The sequence below is a fragment of the Homo sapiens genome, chromosome 1 (genome assembly GCF_000001405.40).
Source record: "Homo sapiens chromosome 1, GRCh38.p14 Primary Assembly".
NCBI lineage: Eukaryota > Metazoa > Chordata > Mammalia > Primates > Hominidae > Homo > Homo sapiens.
The window spans coordinates 10,682,158-10,699,774 of NC_000001.11; the positions used below are offsets into that span (position 1 = coordinate 10,682,158).

General features: G+C 58.5%; 1 protein-coding gene across 6 annotated transcripts in view, besides 7 other annotated features; it reads right to left on the bottom strand.

The window, feature by feature from the left end:
* CASZ1 (castor zinc finger 1) overlaps positions 1–17,617 on the bottom strand; it is a 160,043-nt gene that overhangs the window by 45,554 nt on the left and 96,872 nt on the right. For 4 of the 6 annotated variants that reach the window (NM_001079843.3, XM_017001540.3, XM_047423404.1 and 1 more), the window contains one exon: positions 11,717–11,755. In NM_001079843.3, coding sequence (NP_001073312.1) covers positions 11,717–11,732 — 16 coding nt within the window. In that variant the 5' untranslated portion in view covers positions 11,733–11,755. Of the gene's footprint in view, positions 1–11,716; positions 11,756–12,139; positions 12,294–17,617 lie in introns of those variants that run through there. The other 2 variants (XM_005263479.4, XM_017001539.3) reach the window with 1 other exon arrangement.
* Positions 3,965–4,564: an enhancer, noted in NCBI's record as "H3K27ac-H3K4me1 hESC enhancer chr1:10746179-10746778 (GRCh37/hg19 assembly coordinates)". NCBI's record gives its function as "activates a minimal SCP1, AML or CMV promoter by ChIP-STARR-seq in primed H9 embryonic stem cells {active_cell/tissue: H9 hESC(primed)}" and the evidence as "EXISTENCE:reporter gene assay evidence [ECO:0000049][PMID:30033119]".
* Positions 4,175–4,469: a silencer, noted in NCBI's record as "tiled region #10351; K562 Repressive non-DNase unmatched - State 7:EnhWF". NCBI's record gives its function as "represses a minimal TATA promoter and a strong SV40 promoter by Sharpr-MPRA in K562 cells {active_cell/tissue: K562}" and the evidence as "EXISTENCE:reporter gene assay evidence [ECO:0000049][PMID:27701403]".
* Positions 4,565–5,165: an enhancer, noted in NCBI's record as "H3K27ac-H3K4me1 hESC enhancer chr1:10746779-10747379 (GRCh37/hg19 assembly coordinates)". NCBI's record gives its function as "activates a minimal SCP1, AML or CMV promoter by ChIP-STARR-seq in primed H9 embryonic stem cells {active_cell/tissue: H9 hESC(primed)}" and the evidence as "EXISTENCE:reporter gene assay evidence [ECO:0000049][PMID:30033119]".
* Positions 11,882–11,971: a silencer, noted in NCBI's record as "silent region_249". NCBI's record gives its function as "represses an Ori minimal core promoter by ATAC-STARR-seq in GM12878 lymphoblastoid cells {active_cell/tissue: GM12878}" and the evidence as "EXISTENCE:reporter gene assay evidence [ECO:0000049][PMID:35858748]".
* Positions 12,272–12,441: a silencer, noted in NCBI's record as "silent region_250". NCBI's record gives its function as "represses an Ori minimal core promoter by ATAC-STARR-seq in GM12878 lymphoblastoid cells {active_cell/tissue: GM12878}" and the evidence as "EXISTENCE:reporter gene assay evidence [ECO:0000049][PMID:35858748]".
* Positions 12,552–12,751: a silencer, noted in NCBI's record as "silent region_251". NCBI's record gives its function as "represses an Ori minimal core promoter by ATAC-STARR-seq in GM12878 lymphoblastoid cells {active_cell/tissue: GM12878}" and the evidence as "EXISTENCE:reporter gene assay evidence [ECO:0000049][PMID:35858748]".
* Positions 12,762–12,821: a silencer, noted in NCBI's record as "silent region_252". NCBI's record gives its function as "represses an Ori minimal core promoter by ATAC-STARR-seq in GM12878 lymphoblastoid cells {active_cell/tissue: GM12878}" and the evidence as "EXISTENCE:reporter gene assay evidence [ECO:0000049][PMID:35858748]".

Genomic DNA, 17,617 nt, shown 5'->3' on the forward strand with positions numbered 1-17,617 from the left:
AACACAACACACAGGGACAGCCACCTGCTGTCCCAGACAACTGGGACAGCCGCAGCTAAGGGTGAGGCTGTGAGATCAGGACCCAAAAACAGGAGGTGAGACAGTGAAGGCTGGAGGGAAGTGGGGGGTGCCGGGACGGGGAGAAGGGGCAACGGGAAATATCACCGTGAAGTGGGAGAGGCAGAGGGCAGGGTTGTACTCAGCCCTGCAGAGGCAGAGGGAGGAGTGTCTGTGGATCAAGGGCCCCGGAAGACTCCTGGGGGCCCGGCGGAATCCGGGAGGCAGGAGCTTCCAGTGGGGCAGTGGATACCGAGAGGGGAAGTAGAGGAGGGAGAGAAGTTGAGTGGGGAAGAGGGAGCGAGGTCTATTAAAAACCTCTCAGTGCATAACACAAAATGTCAGGGTTTATAGCTTCATTCTTGGCTTTGCCGGGACTGAGAACCCTGAACAGAAATGTCACCGCTTGTCATGTTTAATCACCTGCTGTTTGTTAACACCTTCCCTGCAAGGAGCCTGTCTCAATCTGTCCCTGGGCCCCCCAGGGACCAGGAAATAGAAAACATCTCCATCTCCTTCTCTGGGCTCTTGGCCCTGCCTAGGGGCTCTTCAGCTCCATCTGAAGGCCTCCCGAGGAGCCCCAAAGTGATCCTTCCTATCAGGGAGGCCAGGGAAAGGAACCCCATATGGCCCTTGGAGGCGTGGTGCCATCTGTGGCCCTGCGTGGTGCGCTTGGTGTGGCTGGGCCGGGGCCTGTCATCCCCCTGCTTCTTGTGCCTGGCTCTCCAGGCCTGCCTGTCCATTCTAGCTATTCCACTCGGTCCTCTAACTCTGCGGGTACGCAAAGATAAATAAAGGAGAGCCCGCTCTGATCTCTGCAGTCTGGAAGTCACCAATCTGTCTGCTTAAACAGCAACGGTCACATAACATCTAACAACCAAAGCCACCATCCTTCCAGTTACAATCGGATCACACCATCTGGGGTTCTGGCTTGGCTCTCTGAGCGTGCTTTCCTGGGTTGTTTAGGCTAGGAATTCTCAGCCCTACTGCCCCACGTTCCTTCCTCTGGGTTAGGAGTAGGTGTGGGGGAAGGGCAGCACAAATCTTCCCCACCTCCTAAAGCACAGTGTGGTCTACACTGGGAAAGAAGCTGGTTCACTCTCAGATTACAACCAAGCAAAGACCTGGGCAAACTCAATACAGCCCCCAGCCTAAAACCCCACCTGGGACAGCTGCCTGCAAAGCAGTGAGTTTATCACGTGGAGTTCCCAAGGCAGCCCCATCACCTCTAGTAGCAAAGAAAGCCAGTGGAGACACCCACCGCAGAGCTGAACTGAAAATGGTCTCCCAGTGAACCGGGGGGCAAGGTCCCCATCTTCCCTTCCAGCAAGTCTCTGCTTACACAGAAACATATCCAGCAAACATGCATCGTGAACCTGTCTCCTAGGAGAATGCCCGTTCGGTTAGACATGCTTCCTGAAGGGCTCTGCGTCCAGTCCTTTCACTTCCATTTCACCACAGAGACAAGTCGGAGTGCGTTCCACCCACCTGCAACCCTCCCCTGCGGACAGATGGGAGCACTCGTTTCTGCAAAGATGGGCACTCCGGGATGCCTCTAGAAAAGGAGGCTTTCCCCCAGAAGCTCAAAATGCATCTGCATCAACAACTACATTTTATCTTGCATCCCTGCAGCCCAGGGATGTGTTTGCAGACTACAGGTGGGGTACACATCGGGGCCAGAGATGTTTGGGGACGTGGGCCAGGCAGCACGGTAGATACCTAGGGCTGGAGGCCTGTGTGTCCTCACTCAGTGCTGCCATTTGGAACAGTGCTCAGGGGCGCCCCGCACCAAGTCCTCTGACATTTAGCATTTGGGAACAAACCCAGCAGTATCTCCGGGCCTCCAGCTTCCCCACTTAGGAAATGGGACAGCTCCTTGTCTTCCTCCAAGGGAACTGATGAGGAGAGATGATATGTTAGGTGTGGCTCTCTCGGAAGGAAGGCGCTGATAAACTTACGGTGGTGGGGGAGTGAGGGGCTTGGGGGTGGGGGTTCCCTTGTCCGCATCCTCTCCAGAAGCCCCGTCTGGACTGTGATATGTTTGGGGGGAGAAGGCTCAGTGTTAAAGGGGTGGGATCACAGCTGCAAGCCCTTTTCTAGGCCGGGTCAAGCTTCCAAGCAGTGCTCTGCCATGCCTTGGAGGGGGCGGGGAGCGGGGGACACGAGCATGCCTGCCCCAGCACACGCGCCTAGTGGAACGCAGCGGCCTGGAAGCAAGTTTTGGTAGCGCAAGGGGGTTTAAGTGGAGCCAGCTGCAAGTCCTCCTCCTGAACAGAGACATGGTCCATTCAGGAGGTGCCTGGGCTCTCCAGGACCCTGAGGGTGGGACCATGTCAAGTAGCCCATCCTCCTGCCTCCAAACAGGGCTGACTAAGCCTCCCAGTTTGCCCAGGACTGAGGGGGTTCACACACATGGGTCTTTGCAGTTCTGGGCAAACTGGGGTGGTTGGTCATCCTATCGCGAGACACCACGATGCTGACCACACAGTCTAAGAGCTGGGAACTCGGCCTGGAGTCTAACTCGCATCTGCTCCTGGGGGCCCACACTCTTGGGTGTCAGAAATTCTCTCTTTCCTGGGTGAACTGATGACACAGGGCCTCTCATGCCCGTGGAGGCCAGACCTGAGCCTCTCCCATCTGTAGGTTTTGAAAAGCTGGTTCCCATCACTGAGAGGGACGCTGAGCACACATGGAATGTGTCCTCCCAACTCAGCTGCCCACGGGGGAGCCCAAGAGGAACCCCCAGTGTGGGACCTGGACCAAAGGTCGGGAGCCTCCTGGAATGGAGCTGTCTTGCCTGAAACCCTTGCATTTATCAGATGAGCATGGCCTCCCTGCCAGGCCCCCTGGTATAATCCTTTCATTAATTTACTATTACATTGGAAATTACTCCTTACCCAGGAATATAAGTTTTCATCTTATTTTAAGTTAGATTCTTAAAGCAATTACCAAGGCATCTGGCAATGACTTCACCACTGCGGCCGGGCCCTGCAGGGGAGAAGGGCGGCCCTGAAGCTGCACAGGCCCTAGAGGGGAGTCTGGGGAGAACTGGGAGGGAAGTGGGGGGCACACTGTCATCTCTGATATTTGCCGTTTATGGAAAAACTCCTTTCCAGTGCCACCTGCCCCATGAACCCGCTGGTGACAGTTGCTGAAAAACCTCGGCAGCTGGGGCCTCGGTAGCGTGTTCTATTTTTAATTGTTTGATCAGAATATTCACTCATCTAGGCCCATTCCCAAGACGCATTTCCCAGCCAAAGGGTTCCCCCATTTCTCACACCTTCCTCCCTCTCTCTCTCATCAGAAATCAACTTTGAAATTAATAATCAGAGACACAGACCTGGGTGAGTTTGTCAGGGAGCATGGCACTGGAGAGAAGGGAGGCTCCTCCCCAACCCGGGAGCCCTCAGAGTGGCCTCCGCTGTTTTCTCTCTGAGCCACTGATCCTCAGCCCCCGGGCACGAAGCTGGCCCCGCATGGCCTGCAATTGCCACGCCTGCCTGAGCCCCACCCTTCCTGGCAACAGGAAGACCCCAGCCTCCCCCTGTCCACTCCAGTCAGCCCACTGCCTCTGCTTCTTCAAAAACCTCGAGGGCAGGGCAGAGGGGCTGGGGATACCCAGGAAGCTCCTGGGAAGGACAGGGAGGGGACGCTGGGAGAGAGGCACGTGCCCCTGGACTCAGAGGAGCCGGAAAGAGGCTGACTTTCATTTCAGCTTCCATTTACCAGAGGAAGGGAGCCCACAGGGGCAGCTGCTGGCCTGTCCCCCAGCCAGCAAGTCACACAAACCAGCTCCAGCTGGTGTCACTGGGGCCTGAGGTAGACCATGCTGCTGGGAAGAGGCTACTGGGGCCAACCTGACCCCGTGGCCCCCACCTGACCCCTTCCCAGGAAGGGCCCCCCACCCAGCACGGGGGCCTGTGGGCGCCTGGCCGTCCTCTCCTCTCCTTACATGCCCTTGGCCGAACCACTGTACTCTTCCCTCTCAAGGTCACAGGGCCGTCCACACCAGGAATATTTACTCACTGGACTGGCCCTGTTAGCAGCACTCACCACAAATATGCTTTCTGATAAAGTTGGCAGAAAAAAAATTCTAGAGCTCAAACCAATGTCAGAAATCATCCCCCGCCCCTACCAAGGGAGCACGAGGTGGGGCCTGGAAACAGGTCACACACCAACTATGGGGCAGCCCTGGGGGGGCTTGTATCACGCCCCCTCTCACCTTTCTCCTTCCTGTTTTACCTGGGACAGCCTGTTGCCCAGGGGACCAAGGGCTGGGGACAGTTCTAAGCCGAGGACTGGGTCTTGGGGACACTCGGGCCTCTGGAAGACAAGGCGGGTAGGGTGTCACCTGGGCTTCCCCCCAGGCCGTCTCAGCTCACTGCGCCCCTCCCCGCCACCCTCTCTTGGTGCACAGGGGCTCTGCATGTTTTTATTACCTGTTTGACTCACCGCCTTATTGCTTCTCCCCTTAATGGGGCCGTAACCGTGGAAACGAGGAATAAACGGCCACCAGAAAATGAGATGATTAAACAGGTCACCCTGGCAAACAAACTCAGCCAAGGAACCTCTGGGGGTGGGGACGCTAGGCTGCCCCTCCCCCACCCGTGGCCAGAAGGCCTGGACCAGGTCCTGACCACATTGCCCCACACCTAAAAGGATGGGGGGCAGATGCCGTGGGGCACCCCCTGCCGGGCAGTGGAGAGCCGGGTCATCCTTTTGCGAGGCAGCCCGGCTTCCTGTGGCCTTGGGTTCCCAGGCTGAAGGGGTGACAGACAGGGAGGCACTGGGCTAGAGGGCGGTGAGGATCACAGCTGCAGGGAAGAGGCACTTCCCGGTGACAAAACTTCCAGGAGTCTCTCCCAACAGGCCTCTGGGACGCCTCCTGCTCTCCCGCTGCACTAGGGTCCCCCCATCTAAAGCTCTGCCCGGCTCCTCCAGTCCCCCATTCTCACACAGCGCAGTCCCTCCCAAGGCCCCCTTAGATCACTGAAAGAGCCCCATAAGAAAAGGCCAGGCGACCTTTGGGAACACCTGGTCTCTGGAAACACAACATGTGTCCGTTTCCCAGCTCCTGCCTTCTCCTCCAAAGCCAGGCAGTGCCCCAGCCTCAGCCAGGTGGCATCAAGAGACAGCCCTCTTGGCTTTAGGAAGGGTGTCAGCAGGTGAGTGATTACAGCACCAGCAGGGCCCAGAAGGGCCAGAGGAGACCCCAGAGTCAGGCCTGTGGGACATTCTAAGAGCAGATGCCCCGGCCAGGAGTGGCCCACATACCACGCCCGGGGCAGAGGCCTGAAGCCCTGGCGCCTGGCTGGCCCTCAGTATGGGTGTATCCCTGTCTTTCTGGCCTCACTCCCTGCCCTGGGTTTGTCTAGCTGGAGGGATCCCGGAAGCGGGGAAGAGAATGAGAGAGGGCAGACATGCAGTGGTGAGGTCTGCTCAGGAGGAGAGAGAAAGGGGAGAGGGAGATGGGCAAGGGAGGAAGTGGAGAAGGGCCCAGATCACCCTCTGGCTGCAGCCATCCTGTCCCCACTGGGCAGCAGACTGACGTCCCAGTCCCAGGCCATGGTCATGGTTAGGAGTTACTGTGGGTCCCATTCAACCATCAACACTCCTGTCTTTATCCTTAGGGCTTCCCTGCCCCTTTCACGTCATCCCAAATCCCAGCCTCGCTCCTTCCTGTAAACCAGGCTCTAGAAAGCTCTCAAGGAGCTAAAACCCAGGTCCCAAGGGAATTGGCCAACATTTCCTGCCTTCCTCCTTCTGCCCCCACTAAGAAGCCGGGGAGGCACTTGGGGAAGAGGCACATCAATCAATCAGTTCCACCAGCACTTACAGCAGGAAGGCGTGAGCCCCGGCCCGTACCAGGCCCGGGGAGGAGGTGGCAGTACACCAGCTACCATCTAATGGTCACCATTAGGAGCAGCCGTGGCAGAGGAAAACAAGGGCCCTGGCCTCCTGGGGATCAGGGCACATGAGTCCGAGTGCTGGGTCCTGGCACAGCAACGTCACAGGTCTACCCGGAGCCCCAGAACAGCAGGCTCGCAGCCAGCAGCTTCTCTATCTTTTTCCAGGGCCAACGGGGTGTGAGGCTGGAAAGGTTGCATGGGGCAAGAAAGGTAGCAGGGAGGGCCCGGCTTTAGGGAGCTGGGTGGCCTGGATGAAAAAGACAGAAAAACGTGGTTGCAAAATGGGAAGCAAGAGTTCTGCTCTTGGAGGGAGGGGGAGGACAAGGCGCAGAGAGAAGGGGCTGGCTAGGAGTCTAGAAAGCATGGTGGCGGAGGGAGGTCCCTTAAGGCCACTCTTTCACAAAGCTGCATGGTCCCTGGCTCCTGGCTCCTCGGCCTGGTGGGACAGCAGACCGCTCCTCTCCCTCCACTAGGCAGACGCTGCCAACACAGGGGCCCGGGCAGTCCTCATTTCCGTCCCTCTTGCTGCAGGAGAGCCTCCCATGCCTCCTGGGTTTCAGGCCTCGCCTCCCACATGGGTGTCTTACATCCTGCTGAGTCGAGGGTGTCAGGGTGCTGTTCTGTGGCCAGGCAGCCAGAGGGGTGTGCGCTAGACCACCAAGCTGCTGCCCTGCACAGGTGGTCCCGGCGAGGCTGCCCCTCCTCTTTTGCACACTGGGGCTGCCCGCCCTCCTCCTGCTCCCAGCTTCTCCCTACTCATTGTACCCTGGCCCAGCTACCCCAGAACAGCTGCTGCTTGCCGTGGGGACCCACGGGCGGTAATTACTACAGTGCAACTTCCTTCCCCCTCTGAAGATGAGGAGGAGAAGGAGGAAAAGGAGGAAGAGGTGGGAGCAGCGGCCAGGGTGGTCAGGGTGTAAAAATCAGCTCAGGGAAGGCCGTGTTAGAAGGTGAGCCTTGGGGCCTGGGGGCATGGGGGGTGGGCCAGGTGGAGAAATGGCTGAGCCCTGGAAAAGTGTTGGGCCAGCCGTTCTAGAGGAGGCTGATGGAGGCTGGGGCTGCACCACTGACCTGGCAGGACCCAGGAAGAAGAGGAGTTGGGGCCAAGAGCCTTTCCAAGCCCCACCCAATCCCCTGCTCAGGCAGCGGGCACGGCCTTGAGCCAGGGCAGCCACTTTCACGAGGAGATGCCGCTGCGTGGCTTAGCCCTCCAAAGGTGCCTGCATTTATTTTATTTTTCCATCATAAAAACCCAAGCTGCAGCTCAGCCAGATTCTGGGGCTGTGGGGGCTGGGGGAACACCAGTAGTACCGACAAGGCCAGTAGAGAGGTCTGAGTAACACTCACATTCAGTGCCTTTCTTGGAGAGGAGAGTGAATGGGTTCTCCTCGCTGGTCCCTACCAGGGAAAAAGGGCCAGGGGTGGGGTCTCTCTAGGGAGCCTTTCGGACCTGCCCTTCTGCCTCTGCCTCTTGTTGGGGAGGAAAGGCTATGCTAGGCCTTTTAGCCTCAGTTTCCTCTGACGTCTTGCAACTAGAACCAGGGCTGGTTCAAAGGGTCACTTCACAGCCCAGAGCTGCCTGTCTCCAATGCTCTCCACCAAAGAAAAGGTCCAAATAATGTGCTCCTCACCTCGTCCACTCACCCCCTACTCCCACCCGCCAGGACTGCCCCACTGAACAAAATCAAGTTGGGAGTCAGACAGCTGAAGATCTTAAAGGTCATCTGATGCTCAAGTCCCTCTAAATGTCACTAACCGGTGCACAGCACAAACCTCTGTTTGAATGGTACCAGGAAACTCATGACTTCCGAGATGGCCCATTCTGTCCCGGGCTCTGACAGCTCCTTTCTGCCAAGATGGCCCCAGAGCACCTACCCCCTGCAGCAGACTGGCAAAACCGGTGCCCAACCTGGCTACAGGGGCTGGCCCCAGCTTAGACTGGTTGAGTGGGTGTATCTGGCCAAGTAAAGGCTGGAGGAAGGAAATTGAGAGCAATCTGCTCTGCCCTAAACCCGGCGTGGAATCTCTTCCTCCAGTACAGCACAGGAACCTTCTCAGTCCCCGGTGCCTGGCAGGTCGAAGGTGTAACCAGAGCTAGTGAGGTTCCTAGAAGCCTCCACACTTGGCAAGGCTCTGGCCTTGACCTGGCAGCTCATGGAAGGTCTGATCTGAAGGTGGTTGACACTCAGGGCAGGGGCCTGAGCAGCACACACTGGGGCTGGGTTGGGGATGCCAAGCTCTTTGCTCTCTCAGCTTAGACACCGTCTAGAAGAAGTCTGCGGCCTACCTCAAGACAGTATGCTCTCAAAGCATGGGGCTACTGAGAATCAGGAAAATGAGCCAGCCTGGCCCAGCTTCTGATCCCACGCTTCCTGGCCTCCCCACAGTTGAGGCCTGGGCTGTCTGCGATGGGGGATCTGCTGGCAATGCAAGGGGGTCCTGGCCTGGAGCCCCAGAAGGAGAAAGAAACCGGCCGGGCTTCCTCCCATTGACCCGCCTCGACGACAAGGCTGCAGCCACAGCGACACATGGGCAGCACTGTCCCTCACCGGCACCCCCTGCAGTCCGTGGCCATCCCTTTAAAGTTGCCCTCTTGCCTCTTTGGCCCTTGACCTTGTAGAGCCTATCTTGGCTCCTCCGCGCCTTGGACAGCCCCACCCCTTTGTCTCAAGAAGAGAAGGGGCAACTATCATCAGATCCCCACGAGTCAAGGGCGAACGCCTGCTCAGAGCTCCACCCGTGCTTCACCGCCATTTTCACCCTGGCTTCTAGCTGTGTTCAGGGCCTGGGAATCAGCCTGGTGGGACCTAACCCTGGGAGCTTCCCAACTGCAGGATGGATGTACCTGTGTCTGAAAGCTTCCTCCCATCTCCCCTCCCCCCTTCCCGCTCCCTCCCCCAGGGAAATCACTCTAAAAGGGCCTAATGGAACTATGTCCTCCTCTCTTCCTCTCTCCCCTCCCTCCCTCCCTCCCTCTCTTTCCTTTTTTTTTTATTAGCATTTGTGGAATTTATTCCCAAACTCTCCTAATCTTCCGTACACAACCATTTGATTTGCATAACCCAACCCCCTCTCATAAAAACTGGCTGCTAGTTTAATTAAAAAATGTAAATTTGCTGTCATCTCGGGGCCTGGTGAATTAGGACGACATCGGCATTTTTTATTGCTAAAGACGTCCAGATTGATCCAGCCCTTGGCTGAACTATGGTGGGGGAAAGGGGGTCCACATGGCCCCTGAGGGTCCTGAGGTCCTTCTGTCCCCTCCTGAGAAGGCTTGGCTCTCCCACCACTGACTTCCTCATGGCTGAAGGCCTTCAGGACCTAGATGTGTCCGGGGCCGCGGGGATGTTAACCTACGATCAGGGAGGCATGGTGGGTCCATGATGCCAGCAGCCCTTCGAGGCCTGCGCCCCTGGCCTTGGACTATGTCAGAGAGGCCCTCGGCTGAAGCTGCCCACGCTGCCCCAGAGGAAGGGACCCTCACTTCACCAGCCACGAGCCCCGGCCAGAGACGAGGCCCATGGCCCCAGCTGTATGCCGTGTGCACTATGAAGTTGAGGGAGCTGTTCCCAGCTCCTGAAGATGAGCATGGAGTCAGCCCAGGGACCAGCTCAGAGGGGATCTCAGCGTCCTCATCTGCTTCCCTTTTTTGGTGAAGTGGGGGGAAGACTGCTTTTCTTCTGAAGTTCTGAGATTATAAGTGAAACTTCCAAGTTCAAAGAAGAGACTGAGATGGTATCACCAGATGACTCCTCCAGGAAACAGTCAGAACTCTGCCACCCTGGGCCTCCCCTCTGAGTGGCCAGAGTCCAGGCCTGAGTCCCACTGGGAGTGCTCTACTCCAGCTACAGGAGGAAGCAGCTGACCTCAGGGTCCCTTCTAGCTTCTAGGAAAAGTTTCCAGAGCCTGTCCCTGGAGTGCTGGGAGAAGTCAGTCTCCCTAAGGCCCAGGAGAGAAGCCACAAGAGGCTCTGCCACCTGCCTCCTACCAGGGCTGGGAGGCCCTCGCTCCAGTCAGGACACCCTAGAGAAGGGCTTTGGAGTACTGTCCCCACGACAGACTTGGAGGGACTGGTTGGTGGATGGCAGGAGGATGGACGCTGGCTCCAGCTGGCACCCAGGTTAGGAGGAGGCCGACCAGAGGGCCTGCCTTCCAGCTCTGCAATGCCTGGGTCCTGTGTGCTGGCCCACAAGCAGAGGCTCTCCTGCCCCAGGTAAGGGGTGGTGCATTGCCACCAGGCCCATCTCTGAGGTCTGCTTCTTGGCTGGGATGGGTGGGGGCCCCATTTCCGAAGAAAGGGGGTGGGGCCTGAGAGGGAGGTGATGAGACACCGACTGGAGGTGGGGGCAGGCAGGTTCTCTGTGGGAGTGGAGGGCAGGGAGGGGCAGGGTGGCAGCCTTGGCCTTAGACACCTTTACCACTTTGCCCAGCAGGGGGTGTCACACCCTTCCCGGGCGCAGAGGTCCCCAGGCCCTCCACGTCAGACCAGCCAAGATCACACCTGGTGTCACACAGTCCTCAAACTCTGCAAATGACACCTCCCCCCAACAAACACAGGCCCTTCTTCACCGGCCACCGTGCCACCCATCCTCATCCCCTCAGGGCTGCCTCCGGTCTCTCTGCCCACTGACCTTTAGAAGGTCAGATATCAGCTCATGGGTCCCAAGGGCCGATGCTGTGAACTTGGGCCTATTATAAACAACAACGCTAACAGCCACCAGTATCACCTATCCCATCAATGAACCAGGAGAGTTCAGAGATCAGTCTCAATGAATGATCGGGCTGCTTGTTTCTTTTAAAACATTTAAGAAGACAGCTGCTTTTGTCAACCTAGCACGTGAGGGTCCTGGTCAAAATTTGGTTTCAATAGCCAGGGCCCATGGGAAGCCCGCAAGAGCTGAAGGCAAAAACACTGGAAAGAATTAGATTAAACCCAAGAAAACACCAAAATATCAGGATAAACTGCCCCAGGTGAGCACCAGGCCTCCTGGAGCCCCCGGCCTTGTCCCACAGGAGGCCCCCAAACCCAGATGCCTACGTTGAGTAGTCTGTCTGGTCCATCACCACCCCTAGGGTGGGGGCTAAAGAGGCAGGTGGGAGACAGTCCGGGGCCCCTCACTTTGAACTGATAACAGCCACCTCATCCCACAGATTCTCAGGTGAAAAATACTCATTAGCCATAATAAGCAGCTTGATCATCCGACACAGCCTTGTCCCAAATAAATTAAATTCCTTTACCTTGAGACAGTCGCCCCGAAACCAGACTAACCACCTTTCCCAACAGGACGCTGCTTTCAAAAACTAAACCACCCCCCACTAAAAAAATAAAAACACACACCCCAGAGCCAGACACACAAAGATCTTTGCAGAGAACAAAAAAAAAAAAAAAAAAAAAAAAAAGGCACACACACAGAAAAAAAACACGAAGCCATACAAAAAACACGGAGAACAAAAACCCCACAAAAACCCCCTAAATCCTCTCTCTGGGTGCCCCCCAGCTCCTGCTCCTCTCGGTTCTTTCATAATGACAAGCATCACATTAGTCACAGCCTCTAAGCAAGTGGCAAATAACAACAACAACAGCCTCAGAAGTCGCCGATCCCGAGGCCGGGACGCCGGGAGGCAGCCGCCCGACCCTCCCGGCCCCCACCCGGCCCCGCCGCCACCTCATTGGGCTAAAAATAAGAACTTCCGTAAAAGAAGCGAAAGAAAAGTGAAAGAGCCGCCCCTGCGTTCCCACCGGCCGGTACCTGTTCCAAGATCCATTCTCTTCTCCTTGGTCCCAAACTCTTCGCAGAACGCCACCAGGGGAAGACCGGGAGAGAAGAAACACGGGGTTAGCGTCTCGCGGGACCCCGGCCGCCCGCCCTGCTTGTCCCCCGCCCCGCAGGAGCGGCCCGTCCCGGGCGGGCGCCGAGGCCGCGGCGGAGAAACTTTCTCCTCCGCGCCGCCCGCTTCTCACGCTCGGCCCCGCACGCGCCCGCGGGTCCGCGCCGCCTGAGTTTCTCCAACTAAGGCAGCAACTCTCGGCCGGCGCGGCCCCGGCTTGGGGGCCCTGGCCGGGGGATCCGCGAGGCCCAGGGGCGCCCCCGTCCCGCCGACCGCGCCCCGCGCCCGGGTCGCCGCCCGAGACCGCGGCCCCCGGGCCTCCCCCGCCCGCGCCCGGTACTCACCATAGTCGGAGAGTCGAAAGCCGAATTCACTTAAATAATCAACTTTCATAATACTTAATTAATGCCTAATTGCAACTGATTACTCCCCGAATAACAAGTTGTTTTAAAGCCCTGATGTCATTGCTCCTGCCGGTAACACTCAGGGTAACAGTTTGGCAGGAGGGAGCGGGCGGGCGGGCGCGGCCGGGGGCGCTGCCAGGCGCCGCGGTGATTGGCAGGGCGGCCGCGGCGCCGCCTCCTCGGCCCGGCCCGCGCCGGCCCCGGCAGGTGAAAGAGCAGAGCGCGGCCCCGCCGCCGCCGCCGCCGCCGCCGCCGCCGCCGCCGCCCGGTGCGCCCGCCCGCCGCCCGCCGCCCGGTGCCGGAGTGAATGGGCTCGCGCTCGCTCGCGCCCCCGCCGCGCGCCCCCGCCGCGCGCGCCCGCGCCGCACTGGCAGGGCGGCCGGCTCCATTGGCTCTGCGATTCCCCAAACCTCTGGCTCCGGGAGGAGGAGGCGGGGACTTGCGCTCAGGGCTGGCGGGAGGGGACCCGGCGCGGGGCGGGGAACGCGGCCCGAGTAAGGCGCCCGCGGGCACGCGCCCACTCTTGCCGGCCGCCGGCGGCCGCGCGCGCGCTCGCATGCTGCCAGCGGCCGCTCGGGCCCCGCGAGCGCGACCGACGGCCGCCGCGCGCGCCTGCCCCACGACCCGCGCGGCCGCGCTAACTTTTCCGCGAGGGCGGGCGCAGGTGTGAGGCGCCGCGGGGCCGCGCCCGCCAGGCCGCGCGCTTCCCTGCTCCCCTGCCCGCTGCCTGCGGGCTCGGGGCTCCTGGGGTAGCACAGGGATTTCGTGTTCCCCTCACAGCACTGGCGGCTTCTGGAGCTGGAGGAACAGGAGCGCGGGGCGAGGCGGGGCAGGGCGCAGTCAGGCCCGCGCGCCCCCGCACCCCGCGCGTCCCCGGCCCTGGGCCCCAGGAGCGCCGGCCTGGGACACGCAGTGGGGTTTCCTCGGCGTTGCTTTGGTTTTGCCCTTAAAACGGGTCCAAGTGTCCTCCCAGAGCCTCCCCGGTCTTCCGGTCTTTCTGCCCACTCCTCCCTCAAAGTTGGGCCATCCGCCCCGCAGCCAGACGAATGGAGATCGGCGCCCCACTTTCCCCACAGCCCCCGACCCATGATCCCGGCCATCACTTGCGCTTCCTCCCTGCCTTGCCCCTCTGGCCGCTGCCCTAGGAAGGGCGCTCAGTAGAGCACAGGCACCCTCAACCAGGGAGTCTGAGGCCCATCCCGGCTCCTCCTCCCCTCCCCGCCACCCCCCCCCCCCCCGCCCCACGCCGTCTCCAGGCCTGTCCCCTTCAACGTGGAACCTCATTTCCTGCCAGCCCATGGCCAGCCAGGCGCTTTGTGCTGCCCGTGCTCCTCTTTCTTTTCTGCCAGAGAAGGCAGTTTGAGGGTTCTCCCCTCCATGAACCGTGCACCATGGGACATCCCCAGATGTCCCTGCTGCAGCCATATATTTTGAGAGTCCTTATATGTTGGTGACTTAAGTGACGCATCCGGCCCAGAGGGCCTCAAGGAAAGAGACGGTGGGGTGAGCAGGGCCTTGGGCAGCCTTGCTAAGGAAGGACCTGGTTCTCCGTCCCTTCTTCACCTACCCTGCTGCCCTCCTCGCCTCTCCCAGCGCTCCTCTTTCAGGAGGGGCCACACTGCCTTCAGATGAGGGGAGGGGAGCAGGGCCCAGGCTTCCCTGGTCTTTGGACAGCATCCAGCAACATGGCGCTGGCCTATTTTTGCAATATTTCTATTTTGCAAAGGGAGGGGCCAGGGAGGCCTTGGGGCAAAGACATCAGGGAGTTAACAATCTACTCTTTCTCCTACTTTCCCCTCATTTTTCTCCTTTTTTCCTGCTTGCTCTATAGTTCTAAATGGCCTCTCAGGGAGTTGGGCATCCCTCCCCTACTCCACTGCCCTTCCCACTGCCTTCCTGGCAGTCCCCACTCCTGGCCGTCACACAGCCTCATTGGCTCTGTGATTCCCCAACCCATCCCTACATAGGAACAGCAGCTGGAGAGGCCTAGAAACCTTACTGAGCTGCCCCTGGCCCCAAAACCCTGAATAAGGGAACAGAACTACCCCAAGTCTAAGCCTGGGAGTATGACTGCCCGTACCGGGCACCCAGCACAGAGGACTGTGTGCCTCTGCTCCCGACATGGGATCTCAGAGAGGGCATCTGTGTCCAGGACCGCTGTGGGGTATACACATGCCTCTGGGTGCTGCTCCCAATGACTCCCCAAAGCAAGGCATCGTAACAAAAGGCTTGCAGCTCTGGCTGGTGACAGCAGGTGATCAATCCCCACCCCAATTCTGAGCCTCTGCTCTCCTATCTGGGCAACTGTGTGTAGGAGGAAGCCTGGAGGCAAGGGATAGAAGAGGTGATTTCTGGGTGCATTTGAAGATGTCTGCAAAGATGGGGAGCTGCTTGCATACGTGACCCACACAGCCACTGGCTGGCTCTGAATGTCTTCCTGGGCTTCAGCTGATAGTGGTCAGAGCCTGACCCATGAGGAAGGTGTGGAGGGGAAAAGGAAAGCATCTTCCCTCCAGCTGCCCAGGCAGGACCACCTGGATTGGCCACCCAGTAACTCGGGGGGTCTCAGGCAGACAAAGGCTACAGAGGAATGGCGGAAGGGACAGGACTCGAGAGAGCTTGGGGGATGGCAGCCAGCAATGGAGGGAGGTGTGGGGATGCCTGGAAAGCCTCCACTCTGTCAAGTCCCTGGCCAGGTAGCCACAGGCTGAGTGGGCCCTGCCCAAGAGGAAAAGGCCTTCAGTGGAGGAGCAGCGGTCAGAGAAGCAAGAAACAGGCCAACTCGGAGCGCAAGGATTTATGAAGGTCAGAGAAGGCGGCGGAGGCTTCGAGGTTGTGGGGTATGAGTCAGAGGCTGTGTCATGGAGGGGCCCCCAGATTATGCGCCCCCCCCTTCTCTCTCTTTCTCTCTGAGTGTATCTGCTCATACCAAGAGGAGAGGCATCTTTTGAGGCTATGGCCCATCTTTGCCTTGAGGACACCTGAGACCCCAAAGCCAGGCCACAGTGAGGACCTTCATGCCCGGGACTCAAGGGATGGAAGTCCAATGCCATAATCTCTTCTGATCTTGAGTCCCTGGGCCCAGAGCCTCTAGCTCCTCCTGAGACAACCCACTCACAAGAGAAAAAGAAGTGGAAGGCAACCCAGCGGTTCCCCCCAACCCAGGCTCCCCACATCAGCACCAAGGAAAGCCATCTGCCCTTCCTGTCACACTGCTATCGCTGGTTCCTGTTACCCCCCCCGCACCCCCAAGTTGCCCACCTACACTCTCTCCCTCCCGAGCCTGGGGCCTTCTCACTCACCAGCCTGTTTACACACCAGGTATCTCATGCTTTATCTGCTCTCATTTTGAATTTGTAACTTTCACATAAACTTGAACAAAGCTCCTTTTGTTATTGCACCCCACCCCAGGATCCCAATAAACTGGTTCCATCTGAGGCGACTGGGCCAGGGCACAGAAGCCTTGGCCAAAGGACTGCGTGTGCCTGCGAACAAGCATGTTCGCACCTGCGAGGGAGTCCGTGTGTTTGCGTGTGAGCCCGCTCCGGGGCCGATGGAGGGAGGGTGTCGGGAAAGCTGTGAGCCAGCGAAGTGGACGGGAAGCATGGGGGCCGAGGGAGGGCAGAGCCAAGGCACCACGGCATGGCCACGGGCACGGGAGGTCGTGGGCCACAGACAGGTGGGTGTTGGGGCAGGGGGTCAACAGGATGAGAAGGAAACAAAGGGGAGAAAGGAGCCACAGAGTGGGTGGCGGAGCGAGGGCCGCGCCGAGTGTAAGGCAGACGCAGGGATTGCATTATGGCAGGAGAGGGGCTGGCACAGCCGCACGCTCGGCCCCGTAATCCTGTTAGCCAGCAATCTCCATTCCGAAAGAGCTTCATTTCTTTGTGAATATTTGTAAACTAGATATCTAATGGAAAATTATAGGAAAATTATAGTGAAATTCATGACGGAGAAATCCGATTATCCCTAATTCAATTATGCCATCTTAGCCCACACAGCACATTTCCCATTTTTTTCCCATAAATACCGATGCCAGGGGTCCCGGTAATCAAATAAAATTGAAAATCATCTTCCCATTAAATTCAATTAGCCGCAATTTCTAAAGCCTATCAGAGATTTTAATTACTAAATTATAAAATTCTCCAATGCTAAATTGAAACCAAAAAAATTGCACATCCTTATATTTCAGAGAAAAAGAAAGGCCAGCAAAATCCTTGAAAAATGCCCTCTTCTCTGTGGCCGGCTCCGAAGCAGGCTCCCCACCTGGAAGAGGCCCACCATCACTGCCTACTTGTCCAGCTGGGGATGAAGCCAAGGGGCCAAGGAGGGTCCCTGGCAGGGGAGGGCTGAGGGGGACTGGCTTAACAGAGGGGCAAGCCGCACCTCCAACCCCAGCGAGCTCCTCCAAACTGGCCTTCCTCTCGTGGGCTCTCCTGGCTCCTGAGAAGTCCTCAGCTCTGTCTCATACCAGGAAGCCTCTAACTCCCAGTGTCACCTTCTTGGCCCATGAATTGGGCTCAGGCTTAGGTCACAGCTTGGCCTCAGGGCTCTGTGTGGCTCCAGCACAGCGGACCGGACCGGAGGCAGCCAGCTCTTACCCAAGCACTGGCTCTCCAGCCACTCAGCTCCCCCACCGCTCCCCCACCCATGGCCTGGCCTGGGTTGGGGGTGGGAGCAAGATGGAGCCTGGGGTTGGGGGTGGACAGGTATCACACATGGCTCCATGGCCCAGAGGCTGCTTGCTCCAGGGCGTTCTCAGGGGCCCATGAGGCCTGGCAGGGTACCAGCCTTCGGGGAGAAGAGCTGGGGATCGACATGGCCCAAATCTGGCCTCTCCCTGCACTTCCAGCTCATCCTCCGTTCTCCTTCCCCTCTCCTGGGAAGTCAACGGCCCTGAACTGGCCAGGAGGAACGCCCTTGTGCCCTGGGAGAGGATCACACTTTCCCCCCATTTCCTTTTAGGGAAGTGCTGGCCACAACCCCAAACAGTAGCCCCTCCTCTTCCCCCAACCCCCACATCCCACTTACCCTGCTCTAAAAGGTGCTCTCAGAGTCAGTAGAGCCTGGGGATGTGGCATCGGTGGGGGCATAAAGTGACCCAAGGTCTGAAAGCCAAGGTAGGTTGTTGGGTGGGCAGCTGGCAGCCCTGGCAGATCCAGGACAGTCGGCAGAAGTCTTGCTGGCAGCCCAGCACCCAGGGAGCCGGGAGCAGGTTTAATTTGCCAGGCAGCCAGGAGTGCCAGCAGGGGAGGCACCCGCAAACAAAACAAAAACAAAAAAGTTAATTATCTTTGGCTTTTTCTTAATAAATATCCAAACTGGCCCGGCCGGATCCTCCACTTTGGAGGGAGAGAGAAGGAGGAAAAAACCCCAAACCAAAATCCAACAGACTGATTCTCTTGTGTCTCCCTTCCC